The sequence below is a fragment of the Homo sapiens genome, chromosome 1 (assembly GCF_000001405.40).
Source record: "Homo sapiens chromosome 1, GRCh38.p14 Primary Assembly".
NCBI lineage: Eukaryota > Metazoa > Chordata > Mammalia > Primates > Hominidae > Homo > Homo sapiens.
In genome coordinates, this window is record NC_000001.11 from 7,399,925 (window position 1) to 7,418,353 (window position 18,429).

Genomic DNA, 18,429 nt, shown 5'->3' on the forward strand with positions numbered 1-18,429 from the left:
AGTTTAATTATAATGTTCCTTGGAGAGGACCTCTTTGGGTTGAACCTGTTTGAGGTCTTTTGAGCTTCATGGATCTAGATGTCCATATCTCTATCAAGACTTGGACAATTTTCAACTATTATTTTGTTAAATAAGATTTCTGTGCCTTTTACCAACTGTTAGTCCTCTGAAAACCTCATAATGAAGATATTTGTCAGCTTAATTGTGTCCCACAAGTCCTATAAGCTTTGTTTACTCTTTTTGATTCTGTTTTCTCTTTTGTACTGTGGGTTATTTCAAAAGACATGTCTTTAAGTTTAGAAATTCTTATTTCTACTTGATCTAGTCTGCTGCTGATGTTCTCAATTACATTTTTAATTTTATTCATTGAATTCTTCAGCTGTAAGACTTTGTTTGGTTCTTTTTTTATATACATCTATCTCTTTGTTGAATTTCTCATTCAGATCATGATTTGTTTTCCTGATTTCATTGAATTCTTTACCCATGTTCTCTTTTACCTCACTGAGTTCCCTTAAGATAATTATATTGAGCTTTTTCCAGGCAATTTGTAAATTTCTATTTCTTTGGGGTCAGTTAGTGGAGAGGTATTGTTTCTCTGATGGTGTCATATTTCTTTGTTGTTTTTTTTTCATGTTTGTTGTGTTCCTGCATAGATAGCTGTACATCTGGTGGAATGGTCACCTCTCCCAATTTTATAGGGTGGCTTTCATAGGGAAAGACTTTCATCTTCAGATATGTCCTAGAGTATACGTTGGGTAGGGTGCATTGGCTTTGGTTCCAGGTAGGCACAGTAGTAATCTCTATGAAGTTTCTTTTGCTGTATCAATATCAGTGATGCCTGTGAGTACCTCAGTGGCCTAGGCTGCTAGAGTTTGTGTGGCTGATCCACCCCACTTGGGTGCTGCTCCTGTGGAAGTGGGGCACCAGACTAGTTTGCATGCTGAGGGAGTATTTCAAGAGTTCTTTATATATTCTAGATACAAGTCATTTATCATTATGTGATTTGCAAATATTGTCTTTGAGTCTATAGCTTATCATCTTATTCTCATTTTATTCCCTTAATGTTGTGTCTTTCAAAGAATAGGTGTTCTTAATTTTGATGAAGTAAAATGGATCAATTTGTTCATTTATGAATTGTGTTTTTGGTGTCATATCTAAGCAATCTTTGCCTCATTCAAGATCACAAACATTTTCTATCCTTTTTCTAGTTTTATAATTTTATATTATGTCTATGATCTGCTTTGCATTAACATTTGTATACGGTGCAAGGTATAGATTAAGAAGTGTTTTTCTTTTTAATGTATGGGTATACAAATTTTCAGTACCATTTATTGAAATGACTGTCCTTTTTCCATTGAATTGCCTTTGCACTTTTGTTGAAAATCAATTGGTCATATATGTGTGATTCTGTTTCTAGACTAGTTCATTGATAACTACCCCTTTGCCAATTCTATACTACCTTGATTACTGTATTATTATGGTAAGTCTTGAAATCACGTAGAATGTCTTCCAACTTCATTCTTTTTCAAAAATTGCTTTGGAAATTCTGCTTCCTTTGCATTTTCATATAAAATTTAGAATTAGTTTGTTCACTTCTAAAAAAAAAAATCCTTCTGGGAATTTAATCGGAACTGCATTGAATCTATAGATCAGTTTGGGGAGAATTAACGTAACTATTGGGTCTTCACATCAACATGGTATGTTTCTCCATTTATTTAGGTCTCCTTTGATTTCTTTCATTAGTGCTCTCTAGTTTTCAGCATCCAGATCTTAAACATATTTAGTTTGATTCATTATTAACTTTTTTGTTGCTATCATAAATGATACTGTTTTTTCCTCATTTCCAATTTTACATTGCTGTTATATAAAAATGCAGTTTATTTTTGGTTGTTGTATATTGACCTGAGCTTAGGTCTTTATGGCTCCACATCCAGCTCTATGCTTCCCACTCCCCACCCTCTAGGCTGTTTCCTTAGCAGCAGGAGCAGCCCTGGGAACTAGGTTACTATGTTATGATCCCCATGCCTGACTCTGAGTCACCTTAAAGGAGTGAGTCACCAGCCTCTCTTGCAGTAGTTTTCCTCTCCCTAAAGCAAGGATTAAACCACTTGCTCTCTTATTGCTCCCAGGAATGTTAAAGATGAGTGACTAAGGCAGCAAGGGTGTCAGCACTCTGACATGAATAGTTTGACGTAATTGAGACCTGGTAGTTTTGTGGGTTTTTTCCTAATCCAGGTGTTATTGTCAATTACATGTTGGGAAAAAGAGATAAAGGTGGGATGAGTCAGGAGACAGCTGCTCACACTCTGTAGGTCTCCAGCGGCTTTCCTCCACCCTCTCACACAGCCTCAGAAGACCCCTGGTCCTCCCTTGTTTTGCCTACTCTCCCAACCCAAAAGTACCTCTTTCTCCCCTCACCTTTCTATTTTAACCATCTGAGAGATCCAGCTTGAGCCTTCCCTCCTCACCTTCTTCTGCTGCATGACATTACCCAGCACCTGTCAATCTCCCTGAGGCCATGATAGGCAGCACTGTCCCCCAGCTTGGGGTTAGATATCTGTCCCATCGCCCAAAAATATGAACGTGAGGAGGGCATCTTTTCTGTGGCCTGTCATAGGGCCCATTATATGCTGCAGTCGTGATGGGGGCTTAACAAATAAGTAAGTAAAGCCACGCTATGCTCAGGGTCTGCAGCTTTTCCTTCCCCTCCTTTCTTTGTGGTTTGCAGTTGTCTTGGGAGGGCCTTCTGTCTGGGTTTGACAGTGAACATGAGTAAAGTGAGCAGGGGCTTTGGCAAGAAGAGTGGTGAGCAGAAGCTGGTGGAGACTTGGGGGCTGCACAGGACCTAACTTTTGAAACTGAAAGCAAAGTCAAGTCTAAAATACATCACATTAACCCTCTTTTGGTCTGTCTGTCTCTTTCTCAGACAGTGTCCCTGCTGAGAGTAAGAAGTGTTCTCAAAGCCTTTTCCACAGCAGGAATGGGGCACGCGGGACTCGCATCCATTCATTCACAAAATGGTACCTGGTACAGAGTAAGGGATTAGAGAATATTGTTTGAATAAATGAACAAATGATTCTGCCTTATGTGCCAGGCACTGTGCTAGCTCTTTGGGACACTAAGATGAATAGAAAATGATATTAATCACCCAGGCGCGGTGGCTCACGCCTATAATCCCAGCACCTTGGGAGGCCTAGGTGGGGGGATCAGCTGAGGTCAGGAGTTCGAGACCAGCCTGCCCAACATGGCAAAACCCCGTCTCTACTAAAAATACAAAAAATTAGCCAGGCGTGATGACGGGTGCCTGTAATCCCAGCTACTCGAGAGGCTGAGACAGGAGAATCGCTTGAACCCAGGAGGCGGAGGTTGAACCAGGATCGTACCACTGCACTCCAGCCTGGGCAACAAGAATGAAACTCCATCTCAAAAAAAAGAAAGAAAATGATATTAATCCCCAAGCAGCTCATGGCCTAGTGAGGGAGGCAGATACAAACATATAAATAACACTCTGTGGGGAATCCCAGTGAGAGAGATCTCTTTAAGTGTATGTAGCGAGATCAGAGAGCGGAAAGTACCTCCTGGAAGATGTAACACTAGGCTTTCAAGAATGAGTAGGAGCTGGTCAGGTGTTAGTGAAGGGGTGAAGGGGAAGAGGCACAGGGACAACCTGAGTGTGGGGATGGGGAGCAGCATGGTGCTTTGGTGGTGCTACCGGCAAAGGTGAGTAGTCTGTGGTGTTCCCTCTGAAGCCGAGGACCACCACCAGCCCTATGGCTGCAGGGTCAGCACTGCACCTGGGACCATCTAGAACCTGGTTGATCTGGCATGGGAAGAAGTTGTTGAGTGATAACAGGTGCTGGCTTCTGTGCTGAGGCTTCCAGAGGTCCTCAGTGAATCCTCACCGCAACCCCCCAAGGGACGTACCAGGACTAGTCATTTTACAAGTGAGGAAATGGGTGCAGGGAGGCAAAGGAGCTTCCCCAAGGTCTCTGGCTTCTCAGTGGCAGAGTCCGGGCCCCTGACCCCTGCGGGATCCTACCTGCCTAGAGTGCTCCTGGAGAGCAGCGGGGAGGGATGCTGTTTACTGAACACCTTTTGTGGCTTGGTGCTGGGCTGGGCAGCAGATATCTGTGATCTCATTTTATTCTCACAAATATATGGGTGGGTGGTTTTATCTGCATTTTACAAGGGAGGACACTGCCCCATCCGATGTCACAGTTTTTGACTCAGAGATCCCCACTCCCGACACCACCCACACTCTTGTCCCTCCATGGCCCATTGGCCAACGAGCTCGCCACGCTCTGGACCCGTTTCTGAACCTCTTTCTGGGGTTGGCGCCAACTCCCGGAAGATGCCTTTGTACTTGCTTTTTCTACTCAGACCTCACTCTGGCCACTGAGCCTCTCCAAAAGCCTCCTCCAACACCCAACACCCTATTCCGTACAATTCTATATGCATTTGAAATGGGCTTCTGATGTCCTCTGGTGTTGGTCACCCCCAAGTGTCCACGAGAAGGTGAGCCCCTTTGGGCAGAGACCACCTTTTGTGCGGGCTTCCCGAGGAGAGTGGCCTGTTGCCACGCACAGAGCTGATGGGAAATGTGAGCTCTGGAGTTGTGGGGTGACACTGTCTATGTTGTATCGTTGCTGGAGAATTTGCTGGCCCAGGAGTTTTGGGGACCCTCTCCTCAGCTTGAGCTGCAGGCCCACGTCCGTCCCCTCACCCTGGCTCCCCAGGAGTCCTGCTGAGGGCTTCCTATAGGAAGCCAAGCTCTGAGACATGGAGCCACCCTCACCAGAGCCGCCTACGGGAAAGGAAGAGCCAGCCTCCTTTCCTTTGGGGCAGCTGGAAGACAATGTACAACACATTTTGAGAAAGTCTCTGCAGAACAAGAAAATTGACAAATACTTTCAGGTCTGTAGTCAAAGGAATCTGGAGTATGCTGCCTCCTTAGTTCATGACTAGCAGAAAATAAAAGGGTCTTTTTTTGTTTGTTTTTTGGGGTTTGTTTGTTTGTTTTTTCTGTTTTTTGTTTTTTTTAGTATAACAATGACTTATACAGTTGAGGTGAAGTGAAAATATCATTACAATAGAGGTGACATTAACTTGCTACCGATTGTGCCTGGTACTCATTGCAGGTAAGAGGTGAGCCATGCTGTTGGAGGCTGGTCTCTGTGGGCTAAGAGGTCCCCGGGCCTTCCCTCCTCCCTCACTTCCTGCAGGCAAGTAGGATGCGTCCTCCATGGAGTCTCTGCATTTTCTAACTCAATAATGGAGTCAGATATCCCGGTAGAGGACCAGGCTTGGGGGCCACAAGATGGGCCTAAAAGCGCATCTTGAAGGCCTAGTGTCACCTCCTCCAGGACTTCCTTGGTACTTCTCTCTCTCTGATTTCACTATATACACTTAGAAAAAAAGCTTTTCTTTTCTTTTTTTTTGGTTTGTTTGCTGTTGTTGTTATTTTGAGATAGGGTCTCACTCTGTCACCCAGGCTGGAGTGCAGTAGCACGATCATGGCTCCCTTCAGCCTTAACTTCTCAGGCTCAAGCAATCCTCCCACTTCAGCCTCCAGAATAGTTGATACTACAGGCATGTGCCACCATGCCTGGCTAATTTTTGTATTTTTTTTTAGAGACAGGGGATCACCATGTTGCCCAGGCTGATCTTGAACTCCTAGGCTCAAGTCATCTGCCCACCTTGGCCTCCCACAGTGCTGGGATTACAGGTGTAAGTCACCATACCCGGCCTGCAACAAGCTTTGATCTTGAACATGTGAGTTATTTTTACCAGGCCTCAGTTTCCTGATCTGTAAATGGGTATAACACCACACCGGGTGGATGTGAGGCTTCCACACACTGATAGGTCAACAGCAGTGCAGTGCCCTGGAGGAGGACCAAGCATGCCTCAGTGTTGAAAGAGTAACTAACTAGGTGCTGGCTGAGGACAGCACCTCCCCAGCTGTTGGGGGACAGAAGGGGGCACCGTTCTCGAAGCAGCTGCCCTGCTGTTGGGGATTTGGGGGATTTTGCTGTTGTGAGGGTGAGCCCTACCGTCTGCACCCCCTGCTCGGGCCCCGGCACTGCAGTGGGAGACTCACAGAACACTCTGGACAGAGGTTAAATGGTGAGGAACAGGGGTCCCCACAATGGCAGAGCTGGAGCTTCTGCAGCAGCATGGGCTCCTGGTGCCTGTCACTTCCTGTGATAAGTAAATCTTGTCCAGTCTCCAGATTGCTTTGGCTCCAGAGGATGAGAAGGGCTATGCCAAGTGGGCAATGTCCTGGGCATGGCAGAGAGGGGGCCATGATATGGACCAAGAAGCATGAACCAGCTTTTACAGTATCCAGCACCAGGGGTGCCCCAAACCCTAGACTCTGACAAGGAAGGACGAGGCTGTTTCAGAGCACAGTTGGCACCACAGCTAACCAGTAGTAAGTGTTCCTGAAAGGTAGGACATGAGGCCAGAAGCCACTATGCAGGGCAGTCCTCCACGTCTTAGATGAACAATCGGGATAGGGAAGGGCCTGAAAATTCTTTTTATACTGGACACTCGGAGAGTGTCTTTGGTTTGACAACAATATCCATGGCTTTGCCTTTTCTCACCATCTTCAATTGCTCACATGTCCATGCAGGTGTACACACACATGCACAGGCACACACATGCACACAAGCACACACGGATGTACACACACACACATGCATGCAGACACACACGAGCACACACACGCACACACATGCACACAGAGAGATGCATACATGTATACACAAGCAGGGCTTACGTGTAAAGGGGACTACTTCCTAAGGCCCCTGGGCCTGGGCGGCGGCTCTACCCAGAAGCATTTGTGTCCTGTCACTCCCCAGGTGGCCCACTGCTGCCCCCACAGCCCCCCTCCCGACAATGGGTAGAGTTACTCAGGCTTTTCAAAAAACCTCACCTGAGTTTCTGCCAGTTTTCTTTCTGAGTGATATTTGCATAAACCACTCCTAAGACACGCACATCCAACTGTGAGAGGGGACATTCTGAGGCCTCATCAGTTTCATGTCTCAGCCCCCAACCACCTGTCTCCTGGGCTTTGGTAGAGCTTGGAACTAAGTGCCCGCAGCCCGGCGGCACATGCAACCTTGCACTTAGTGCGAGAGACATCAGGCGGCTGCTGAACACTGCTCGATTCATTGAAGGCAGGCGGCCAAGCAGGCCCTTCTGAGCAGGTTCTGGTGCCATCGCCGCTCGGCCCCATGCATAGGTTAGTGATAATATGCTCCTTCCTACCCAGCCTCCCTGAAGCACCTGTCGACTGGCAAGGTTACTAAAAGAACTGACTTGGGGGGCTCATGGCTGCTGGGGTAGTAACTGCAGGGGAAGATACAGAGGCTATTAAAGCCAGGGCCTTTGGTGCAGCCCAGGCTCGGGGAGGGCACAGGCTGTCTTGGGGGACCACAGACAGGCACCTGCATGCAGTGTGTGACTGGAGGGTCTGGGAAGGGCCCTGCTCTGTGGGGCCCCTCACTCCTCACTCTGAAGTCTGAAGTCTCAGGGCTGAGGAAGAGGCCACCCATGGTGAGTTGGGAGGAGCTGAGCTGCCCTAGAGAGTGGAGCCACCTTGAGGGAGTTGGTTCCCTGTGTTGGCCTCACCTCCCCACCCCCAAATGCAAAGGACATGGGTGGGTGTTGGGGGGTGACTGCAAAGGTGGTCTCTAGGCCCCTCTGGCTTTAAGAATGAAAGCCCTTTGATTTGCACTGAGACAGCGCGTCTCCGTCCAACGCACTGGGGATGCCCGTGCCAGCCTGCAGGTCTCTGCCAGGCATGTTCACGAGGTGCTGCTTGGTTTTAGAAGGGAGCCTGATGCCCAGGCCAAGGTCCAGGCATGGATGTAGGTGACCAAGGCCATCGCAGGGCATTGGGGGCCTGGGGACAGTCCCCCAGGAAGGGAGGGAGCCAGGGCCATCTTGCATTCTATCCCATTTTTACCTTGGCCTACCCTGCATTCAACGAAGGTTCTCCCAAGCCCACTGGAGAGGACTTGTTTGCTTCTTAGAGGAGCCAGAAGTTCTCAACAAACACCAATGCAAGCAGAGAGCTGGCCAAAGACCCTGAGTGGGAGAAAGGTTGGAAGCAGGCCTGGCACCGGCCACGAGGCCTGGTCGTGGGTGCTCTCTGTCCCGCCTGCTCCGTCCAGGAGGCATCTCAGGGACAGAGCTCATGGTGGTCCTCTGGCCCATGTCAGGTGTCATCTGAACGAAGTGGTTGCAAGTGGCTCAGGGGGAAATCGGAGACCAGGGCCCCCGGCAAGCCTGGCGATGGCGGGGCAGACAGAGACTCCTGAGAATAGGGACCAAGCATGTCTGCGTTAGCTTTGCATCTTTGTGCTCAGCAAGGACTTGGCACAGAACAGCTGCTCCGCGTGTCTGTGGAGTAAGAGGTGGAGCCCCTGAGCCTTCTGCGAGCAGCGGGGCTGGTGGGGTCCCAGTCATTAGGAGCAGCCCCTCCCCTCCTCCCCATGCCTCGCCTCGCTCCTGCCAGGTGTGCTGTCTTGGCCAGGCCTCTGCTGACCTCAGCTGTCTCTATGTCCTGAGCCGCTTGGCCACTTGTGGGAGCCTCAGAGGAGATGTAGGGACAGGGTAGGGAGGAGGAAGCCACCCTGGGCAGCACCTCTGCCCTGGCTGGAGTCTCCCTGCTGAGCCACAGCTTCACAGGCTGCTCTCGATTTTGGTGATGGTGCCAGGTGGGCATGCATGGCTATCAGCTTCTGGGCACTGCCATCTACAGTAAGCCCTGGGCGCCAGGCGGCCTGGGTCCTCAGCCTCCATAGCACGCCTTGCTGGGCAAGCATCAGAGCCGAGAGGACAATGGTGATCATCTAGTTCATCTCTCTGAATTGGCAGGTGGGGAAACTGAGGCCCCAAGTCTGGCACTCATTGGCAGCAGGGCCCACGGTTCCCCCTCCCACTCACACACCTTCCTTTGCCACCCCTTGGTGCCTGTCTGCTCAGCGCCAGCCAGGTGTTCCAACCTCCCTGCCCATATGAAAGCAACAGAGGCCAGAGGCTGCTCCAGAACACTCCTCCTGTCCCAGCCTCCCCTGGCCCTCAGCAGACAACACCTAGGCGCTCCTTTAAGTACCTGCCTGTGGCCCTCTCTCCAAGGTCGTGACCACGGCAGCCTGAGAGAAGGAGCTACACATGGAGCCCAAGGGCTCTGACCTCCCAGCAGTGAGCTGCTGAGAGGCTGAGAAGAAAACTGGGTCCACCTACTCAGGGCATGCAGGCTGGACTTCCGTCATCTACTAGACAATCCCAGATGGAGAGACAGAGCGGACCAAGAGGGGGATGGTGGGAAAGAGCACGACCTGATTGTCCGAATACTTCTTCTTGGAGGGAGGAGAGCCCACTGTCAGCCCAAGATGTCCGGAGACCCCTGGCCTCCATCAGAGCTGGCCCTTCTGTCCTGCAGGGGAGGCCTTCCATCCTGCCCCTCTGGCCACCAGCCACTAAGCTTACCAGTCCCTTAGCCCTACAGGCTGGTCGAGAGCCTGGCCAGTGGGAAATGAGACCCACGCCCCGCCCTTGAGGGCAGAGTCCAGCATGAGGACTCACCTGACACTTGCAGGCTCCCAAGGGCTTCCTGGGCCATGGCTGGCATTTCGTGACTATCACCTGTCCCAGGTTTGACTTCCCACTTGACTGTGCTGAGCCCTCCCAGCTGCCCACGGGGTAGGAGGGATTGCCGTCTCCACAGGGAGGAACAAGGGCTCAGAGAAGCTAATTCTGCCCAAGGCCACCAGCTCACACAGGACAAGAGACTAGGACCCCCTCATTTAGCTTTCAAATGCAAAATAAATTAATTTTTTTGTTCTCAGAGGGAAACCCCCAACTCCTCACCTCATTTTTCTCTCCTGGGCACCTCAGCAAGGTGACACCCAAGTTCTTTTGGAATCGGACAAATCATTGCAGGGTCTTTCAAGCTCAAGGGACCCTGTTGATGGGTGGGCTGAGGCCTGGACCTGGCCAAGAACAGGAGGTCAGGAGAGTTACTGAGCAGGAAGGAGCCGGGTACCCTCAGCTGTTGCTTTCTGCCACTGCCTCAAGACAGACAGCTTCGAAGGGAATGGGGGCCAGTAGGTTTGTGTTTCAAAGAGCAAAGGATGTGGCTGGAGGCTTTTCTCCAGTTGCTCTCCCCTCCTTGAAGGAAAGCAGTAAGGATTTGTTACAGTTGATTTTAAAGTGAGCTGTAAATGCGTAAACTTAGGTTAAGGCAGAATTGGAAAAGGACTAGATTGGGCATTTTTCACTGGAGTACAGCCTGGACCTGGGAAATAGAGACAGAATGGGGAAGAAAGAACCAAAGACGTGGGCATGAGCCCCCAAAAACTGGTGGACATGGGGCCCAGGGCCTGCGGCAGAGCTGCCCCCTGAGCTGCTGGGTGAGGGTCCCACCCCTCACCGTCACCTGGCTCGAGCCTCTGAATGGCCAGGGCCCCTCCCGCCTGTCGTCAGGAGCCCACGTGGGTGCAGAGTGACACGTGGAGCCCATCTGATGGCTTTTGCGTTTGAACAGGCCAGACCACAATTCCTGATTCAGCAACATCTTCAAAGATTTGATAACCATAGAAACAATAACTCTTTGCAAAAAAGGAAAAGGAGACACCATCACCCAAAGAGGGAGAGGAGGCCCTGGTGAATATTTATGACCAGAGGCTACAGAATTCAGAATGTACTTATCTCAGCTCAGGTTGAAGAACTCGTGACCTGAGAGTCCTTGAGTGTGGACCACTTGATGACGTCCCCACAGCCCATGTAGCGGGGCTGGAAATACGGAGCCCTGAAGCTTGCAGGCGCTTTAATGCCTTCAAAATGCAGATGCTGTGGAAAAGCAGGGCGTTCTGGGCCCACACGGGGCGCTCTGCTGGGAGATACTTGCTAGTTGTGTCACTAAAGGGGTTGTGGGTTCCCAACGTGCATGGAGGGTGGGCGTCTGTGTGTGTGTGTGTGTGTGTGTGTGTATGTCTGTGTGTATGTGTGTATATGTGTGTATGTCTGTGTGTGTATGTGTGTGTATATGTGTTTGTGTATGTGTGTGTATGTCTGTGTGTGTGTGTGCACCCACATCCATGCACGTTTTAGTGTCTTTTTTGGAGAAGCAAATAGACTCCATAATATATTCGATTCTCACCACGGTCATCCTGGTTTTCTAAGCTATTATCTTGCTCTGTTCCTCTGGATAAGGAGCCAGCTGCTTCAGAACAGGTCCTCACACTCTTTCCATCACTGTGGTTTGGAGGGGCCGCGTCGGACCCTGGGATGGCAAGTTCAGTCATTTCGAAGCCTCCCTGGGGCATGAGCAGGGGTCCCCCTCTTTGGCGCAATGACAGTTCTAGTCCCCGACTGACGCAGGATGTTTCAGCGTCCTATAAGAGACCATCCTGGCCAACATGGTGAAACCCCATGTCTACTGAAAACACAAAAGATTAGCCGGGCGTGGTGACACGGCCCTGTAATCCCAGCTACTCAGGAGGCTGAGGCAGGAGAATCGATAGAACCTGGGAGGCGGAGGTTGCAGTGAGCCGAGATTGCACCACTGCACTCCAGCCTGGTGAGACTCTGCCTCAAAAAAAAAAAAAAAAAAAAAAAAAAAGGAATTAGTATCAAGTTAAATAACTTTCTTTTTTTTTAAGCCATGATTCAGAAGACCGAGGACACCCTTGCTGGCAGCTGATCTTTGAAGAAGTACCAGCTCAGAGAGAGACTCTTGGCCCATGTCAGGACTCAACAAATGTGGCTGAATGAACGAATGAATGATTGTGATGGGATAAAGCCAGCTTTTCCTTTTTTTATTTTATTTTATTATTATTATACTTTAAGTTTTAGGGTACATGTGCACAATGTGCAGGTTTGTTACATATGTATACATGGGCCATGTTGGTGTACTGCAACCATTAACTCGTCATTTAGCATTAGGTATATCTCCTAATGCTATCCCTCCCCCCTCCCCCCACCCCACAACAGTCCTCGGAGTGTGATGTTCCCCTTCCTGTGTCCATGTGTTCTCATTGTTCAATTCCCACCTATGAGTGAGAACATGCGGTGTTTGGTTTTTTGTCCTTGCCATAGTTTGCTGAGAATGATGATTTCCAGTTTCATCCATGTCCCTGCAAAGGACATGAACTCATCATTTTTTATGGCTGCATAGTATTCCATGGGGTATATGTGCCACATTTTCTTACTCCAGTCTATCGTTGTTGGACATTTGGGTTGGTTCCAAGTCTTTGCTATCGTGAATAGTGCTGCAATAAACATACGTGTGCGTGTGTCTTTATAGCAGCATGATTTATAGTCCTTTGGGTATATACCCAGTAATGGGATGGCTGGGTCAAATGGTATTTCTAGTTCTAGATCCCTGAGGAATCGCCACACTGACTTCCACAATGGTTGAACTAGTTTACAGTCCCACCAACAGTGTAAAAGTGTTCCTATTTCTCCACATCCTCTCCAGCACCTGTTGTTTCCTGACTTTTTAATGATCGCCATTCTAACTGGTGTGAGATGGTATCTCATTGTGGTTTTGATTTGCATTTCTCTGGTGGCCAGTGATGGTGAGCATTGTTTCATGTGTTTTTTGGCTGCATAAATATCTTCTTTTGAGAAGTGTCTGTTCATATCCTTCGCCCACTTTTTGATGGGGTTGTTTTTTTCTTGTAAATTTGTTTGAGTTCATTGTAGATTCTGGTTATTAGCCCTTTGTCAGATGAGTAGGTTGCGAAAATTTTCTCCCATTTTGTAGGTTGCCTGTTCACTCTGATGGTAGTTTCTTTTGCTGTGCAGAAACTCTTTAGTTTAATGAGATCCCATTTGTCAATTTTGGCTTTTGTTGCCATTGCTTTTGGTGTTTTAGACATGAAGTCCTTGCCCATGCCTATGTCCTGAATGGTATTGCCTAGGTTTTCTTCTAGGGTTTTTATGCTTTTAGGTCTAACATGTAAGTCTTTAATCCATCTTGAATTAATTTTTGTTTAAGGTGTAAGGAAGGGATCCAGTTTCAGCTTTCTACATATGGCTAGCCAGTTTTCCCAGCACCATTTATTAAATAGGGAATCCTTTCCCCATTGCTTGTTTTTCTCAGGTTTGTCAAAGATCAGATAGTTGTAGACATGCAGCATTATTTCTGAGGGCTCTGTTCTGTTCCATTGATCTATATCTCTGTTTTGGTACCAGTACCATGCTGTTTTGGTTACTGTAGCCTTGTAGTATAGTTTGAAGTCAGGTAGTGTGATGCCTCCGCCTTTGTTCTTTTGGCTTAAGATTGACTTGGTGATGCGGGCTCTTTTTTGGTTCCATATGAACTTTAAAGTAGTTTTTTCCAATTCTGTGAAGAAAGCCATTGGTAGCTTGATGGGGATGGCATTGAATCTATAAATTACCTTGGGCAGTATGGCCATTTTCACGATATTGATTCTTCCAACCCATGAGCATGGAATGTTCTTCCATTTGTTTGTATCCTCTTTTATTTCATTGAGCAGTGGTTTGTAGTTCTCCTTGAAGAGGTCCTTCATGTCCCTTGTAAGTTGGATTCCTAGGTATTTTATTCTCCTTGAAGCAATTGTGAATGGGAGTTCATTCATGATTTGGCTCTCTGTTTGTCTGTTATTGGTGTATAAGAATGCTTGTGATTTTTGCACATTGATTTTGTATCCTGAGACTTTGCTGAAGTTGCTTATCAGCTTAAGGAGATTTTGGGCTGAGACAATGGGGTTTTCTAGATATACAATCATGTCATCTGCAAACAAGGACAATTTGACTTCCTCTTTTCCTAATTGAATACCCTTTATTTCCTTCTCCTGCCTAATTGCCCTGGCCAGAACTTCCAACACTAGGTTGAATAGGAGTGGTGAGAGAGGGCATCCCTGTCTTGTGCCAGTTTTCAAAGGGAATGCTTCCAGTTTTTGCCCATTCAGTATGATATTGGCTGTGGGTTTGTCATAGATAACTCTTATGATTTTGACGTACATCCCATCAATACCTAATTTATTGAGAGCTTTTAGCATGAAGGGTTGTTGAATTTTGTCAAAGGCCTTTTCTGCATCTATTGAGATAATCATGTGGTTTTTGTCTTTGGTTCTGTTTATATGCTGGATTACATTTATTGATTTGGGTATGTTGAACCAGCCTTGCATCCCAGGGATGAAGCCCACTTGATCATGGTGGATAAGCTTTTTGATGTGCTGCTGGATTCGGTTTGCCAGTGTTTTATTGAGGATTTTTGCATCAATGTTCATCAAGGATATTGGTCTAAAATTCTCTTTTTTTGGTTGTATCTCTGCCAGGCTTTGGTATCAGGATGATGCTGGCCTCATAAAATGAGTTAGGGAGGATTCCCTCTTTTTCTATTGATTGGAATAGTTTCAGAAGGAATGGTACCAGCTCCTCCTTGTACCTCTGGTAGAATTCGGCTGTGAATCCATCTGGTCCTGGACTCTTTTTGGTTGGTAAGCTATTGATTATTGCCACAATTTCAGAGCCTGTTATTGGTCTATTCAGAGATTCAACTTCTTCCTGGTTTAGTCTTGGGAGAGTGTATGCGTCGAGGAATTTATCCATTTCTTCTAGATTTTCTAGTTTATTTGCGTAGAGGTGTTTGTAGTATTCTCTGATGGTATTTTGTATTTCTGTGGGATCGGTGGTGATATCCCCTTTATCATTTTTTATTGTGTCTGTTTGATTCTTCTCTCTTTTCTTCTTTATTATTCTTGCTAGCGGTCTATCAATTTTGTTGATCTTTTAAAAAAACCAGCTCCTGGATTCATTAATTTTTTGAAGGGTTTTTTGTGTCTCTATTTCCTTCAGTTCTGCTCTGATTTTAGTTATTTCTTGCCTTCTGCTAGCTTTTGAATGTGTTTGTTCTTGCTTTTCTAGTTCTTTTAATTGTGATGTTAGGGTGTCAATTTTGGATCTTTCCTGCTTTCTTCTGTGGGCATTTAGTGCTATAAATTTCCCTCTACACACTGCTTTGAATGTGTCCCAGAGATTCTGGTATGTTGTGTCTTTGTTCTCATTGGTTTCAAAGAACATCTTTATTTCTGCCTTCATTTCGTTATGTACCCAGTAGTCATTCAGGAGCAGGTTGTTCAGTTTCCATGTAGTTGAGCAGTTTTGAGTGAGTTTCTGAATCCTGAGTTCTAGTTTGATTGCACTGTGGTCTGAGAGACAGTTTGTTATAATTTCTGTTCTTTTACATTTGCTGAGGAGTGCTTTACTTCCAACTATGTGGTCAATTTTGGAATAGGTGTGGTGTGGTGCTGAAAAAAATGTATATTCTGTTGATTTGGGGTGGAGAGCTCTGTAGACATCTATTAGGTCTGCTTGGTGCAGAGCTGAGTTCAATTCCTGGGTATCCTTGTTAACTTTCTGTCTCGTTGATCTTTCTAATGTTGACAGTGGGGTGTTAAATTCTCCCATTATTATTGTGTGGGAGTCTAAGTCTCTTTGTAGGTCACTCAGGACTTGCTTTATGAATCTGGGTGCTCCTGTATTGGGTGCATATATATTTAGGATAGTTAGCTCTTCTTGTTGAATTGATTCCTTTACCATTATGTAATGGCCTTCTTTGTCTCTTTTGATCTTTGTTGGTTTAAAGTCTGTTTTATCAGAGACTAGGATTGCAACCCCTGCCTTTTTTTGTTTTCCATTTGCTTGGTAGATCTTCCTCCATCCCTTTATTTTGAGCCTATGTGTGTTTCTGCACATGAGATGGGTTTCCTGAATACAGCACACTGATGGGTCTTGACTCTTTATCCAATTTGCCAGTCTGTGTCTTTTAATTGGAGCATTTAGCCCATTTACATTTAAAGTTAATATTATTATGTGTGAATTTGATCCTGTCATTATGATGTTAGCTGGTTATTTTGCTCATTAGTTGATGCAGTTTCTTCCTAGCCTTGATGGTCTTTACAATTTGGCATGTTTTTGCAGTGGCTGGTACTGGTTGTTCCTTTCCATGTTTAGTGCTTCCTTCAGGAGCTCTTTTAGGGCAGGCCTGGCGGTGACAAAATCTCTCAGCGTTTGCTTGTCTGTAAAGTACTTTATTTCTCCTTCACTTATGAAGCTTAGTTTGGCTGGATATGAAATTCTGGGTTGAAAATTCTTTTTTTTAAGAATGTTGAATATTGGCCCCCACTCTCTTCTGGCTTGTAGAGTTTCTGCTGAGAGATCCGCTGTTAGTCTGATGGGCTTCCCTTTGTGGGTAACCCGACCTTTCTCTCTGGCTGCCCTTAATATTTTTTCCTTCATTTCAACTTTGGTGAATCTGACAATTATGTGTCTTGGAGTTGCTCTTCTCGAGGAGTATCTTTGTGGCATTCTCTGTATTTCCTGAATCTGAATGTTGGCCTGCCTTGCTAGTTTGGGGAAGTTCTCCTGGATAATATCCTGCAGAGTGTTTTCCAACTTGGTTCCATTCTCCCCGTCACTTTCAGGCACACCAATCAGACGTAGATTTGGTCTTTTCACATAGTCTTATATTTCTTGGAGACTTTTTTCGTTTCTTTTTATTCTTTTTTCTCTAAACTTCTCTTCTCGCTTCATTTCATTCATTTGATCTTCCATCACTGATACCCTTTCTTCCAGTTGATTGCATTGGCTCCTGAGGCTTTTGCATTCTTCACGTAGTTCTCGAGCCTTGGCTTTCAGCTCCATCAGCTCCATTAAGCACTTCTCTGCATTGGTTATTCTAGTTATACATTCATCTAATTTTTTTTCAAAGTTTTTAACTTCTTTGCCATTGGTTTGAATTTCCTCCTGTAGCTCGGAGTAGTTTGATTGTCTGAAGACTTCTTCTCTCAACTCGTCAAAGTCATTCTCCGTCCAGCTTTGTTCCATTGCTGATGAGTAACTATGTTCCTTTGGAGGAGGAGAGGTGCTCTGCTTTTTAGAGTTTCAGCTTTTCTGCTCTGTTTTTTCCCCATCTTTGTGGTTTTATCTACTTTTGGTCTTTGATGATGGTGATGTACAGATGGGTTTTTGGTGTGGATGTCCTTTCTGTTTGTTAGTTTTCCTTCTAACAGACAGGACCCTCAGCTGCAGGTCTGTCGGAGTTTGCTAGAGGTCCACTCCAGATCCTGTTTGCCTGGGTATCAGCAGCAGTGGCTGCAGAACAGCGGTGGCTGTAGAACAGCAGATTTTCGTGAACCGCAAATGCTGCTGCCTGATCGTTCCTCTGGAAGTTTTGTCTCAGAGGAGTACCCGGCCGTGTGAGGTGTCAGTCTGCCCCTACTGGGGGGTGCCTCCCAGTTAGGCTGCTCAGGGGTCAGGGACCCACTTGAGGAGGCAGTCTGCCCGTTCTCAGATCTCCAGCTGCGTGCTGGGAGAACCACTACTCTCTTCAAAGCTGTCAGACAGGGACGTTTAAGTCTGCAGAGGTTACTGCTATCTTTTTGTTTGTCTGTGCCCTGCCCCCAGAGGTGGAGTCTACAGAGGCAGGCAGGCCCTCTTGAGCTGTGGTGGGCTCCACCCAGTTCGAGCTTCCCGGCTGCTTTGTTTACCTAAGCAAGCCTGGGCAATGGCAGGCGCCCATCCCCCAGCCTTGTGCCGCCTTGCAGTTTGATCTCAGACTGCTGTGCTAGCAATCAGCGAGACTCCATGGGCGTAGGACCCTCTGAGCCAGGTGTGGGATATAATCTCCTGGTGTGCTGTTTTTTAAGCCCTTTGGAAAAGTGCAGTATTTAGGGTGGGAGTGACCCAATTTTCCAGGTGCCGTCTGTCACCCCTTTCTTTGACTAGGAAAGGGAACTCCCTGACCCCTTGTACTTCCCGAGTGAGGCAATGCCTCGCTGTGCTTCGGCTCACACACAGTGTGCCGCACCCACTGTCCTGCACCCACCGTCCGGCACTCCCTAGTGAGATGAGCCTGGTACCTCAGATAGAAATGCAGAAATCACCCGTCTTCTGTGTCGCTCACGCTGGGAGCTATAGACCCGAGCTGTTCCTATTTGGCCATCTTAGCTCCACCTAAAGCCAGCTTTTCGCCATGATTTTAAAAAGCAAGTCTGAAGACCCAGGCCCTTCCTCCTGTGCCAAGCATCAGGACCCTCACCTCCTTGGCCATTCCTCAGCTAGTCTTGGGTACCTTGGTGTGGTCGATTGCCCCCTTCTCTTGGTTTCCAAGACACCACCTTCTCCCAGCTTTCCTCCTACCCCTTGGTTTCTCTATTTCAGGATCTTTTCTCCCCGCTCTGGGATTCCAGAGTCCACTTCCTGGTCCTCTTTCTGCTCTTCAACACTTCTTTTTGTTGTTGTTGTTGAGATGGAGTCTTACTTTGTCACCTGAGCTGGAGTGCAGTGGTGCAATCTCGGCTCACTGCAACCTCCACCTCCCAGGTTCAAGTGATTCTTCTGCCTCAGCCTCCCAAATAGCTGGGATTACAGGTGCCCACCACCAAT

The 18,429-nt window shown here is 47.1% G+C and overlaps 1 protein-coding gene across 24 annotated transcripts in view, besides 4 other annotated features; it reads left to right on the top strand.

Moving 5' to 3' along the window:
- CAMTA1 (calmodulin binding transcription activator 1) overlaps positions 1-18,429 on the top strand; it is a 984,253-nt gene that overhangs the window by 614,471 nt on the left and 351,353 nt on the right. The gene's annotated exons all lie outside the window — the stretch shown is intronic.
- Positions 1,507-2,706: an enhancer, noted in NCBI's record as "P300/CBP strongly-dependent group 1 enhancer chr1:7461491-7462690 (GRCh37/hg19 assembly coordinates)". NCBI's record gives its function as "activates an origin of replication core promoter dependent on BRD2, BRD4, P300/CBP, MED14 and CDK7 cofactors, with strong dependence on P300/CBP, by STARR-seq in HCT116 cells {active_cell/tissue: HCT116}" and the evidence as "EXISTENCE:reporter gene assay evidence [ECO:0000049][PMID:35650434]".
- Positions 3,328-3,828: an enhancer, noted in NCBI's record as "H3K4me1 hESC enhancer chr1:7463312-7463812 (GRCh37/hg19 assembly coordinates)". NCBI's record gives its function as "activates a minimal SCP1, AML or CMV promoter by ChIP-STARR-seq in primed H9 embryonic stem cells {active_cell/tissue: H9 hESC(primed)}" and the evidence as "EXISTENCE:reporter gene assay evidence [ECO:0000049][PMID:30033119]".
- Positions 9,073-10,004: an enhancer, noted in NCBI's record as "H3K4me1 hESC enhancer chr1:7469057-7469988 (GRCh37/hg19 assembly coordinates)". NCBI's record gives its function as "activates a minimal SCP1, AML or CMV promoter by ChIP-STARR-seq in primed H9 embryonic stem cells {active_cell/tissue: H9 hESC(primed)}" and the evidence as "EXISTENCE:reporter gene assay evidence [ECO:0000049][PMID:30033119]".
- Positions 10,005-10,936: an enhancer, noted in NCBI's record as "H3K4me1 hESC enhancer chr1:7469989-7470920 (GRCh37/hg19 assembly coordinates)". NCBI's record gives its function as "activates a minimal SCP1, AML or CMV promoter by ChIP-STARR-seq in primed H9 embryonic stem cells {active_cell/tissue: H9 hESC(primed)}" and the evidence as "EXISTENCE:reporter gene assay evidence [ECO:0000049][PMID:30033119]".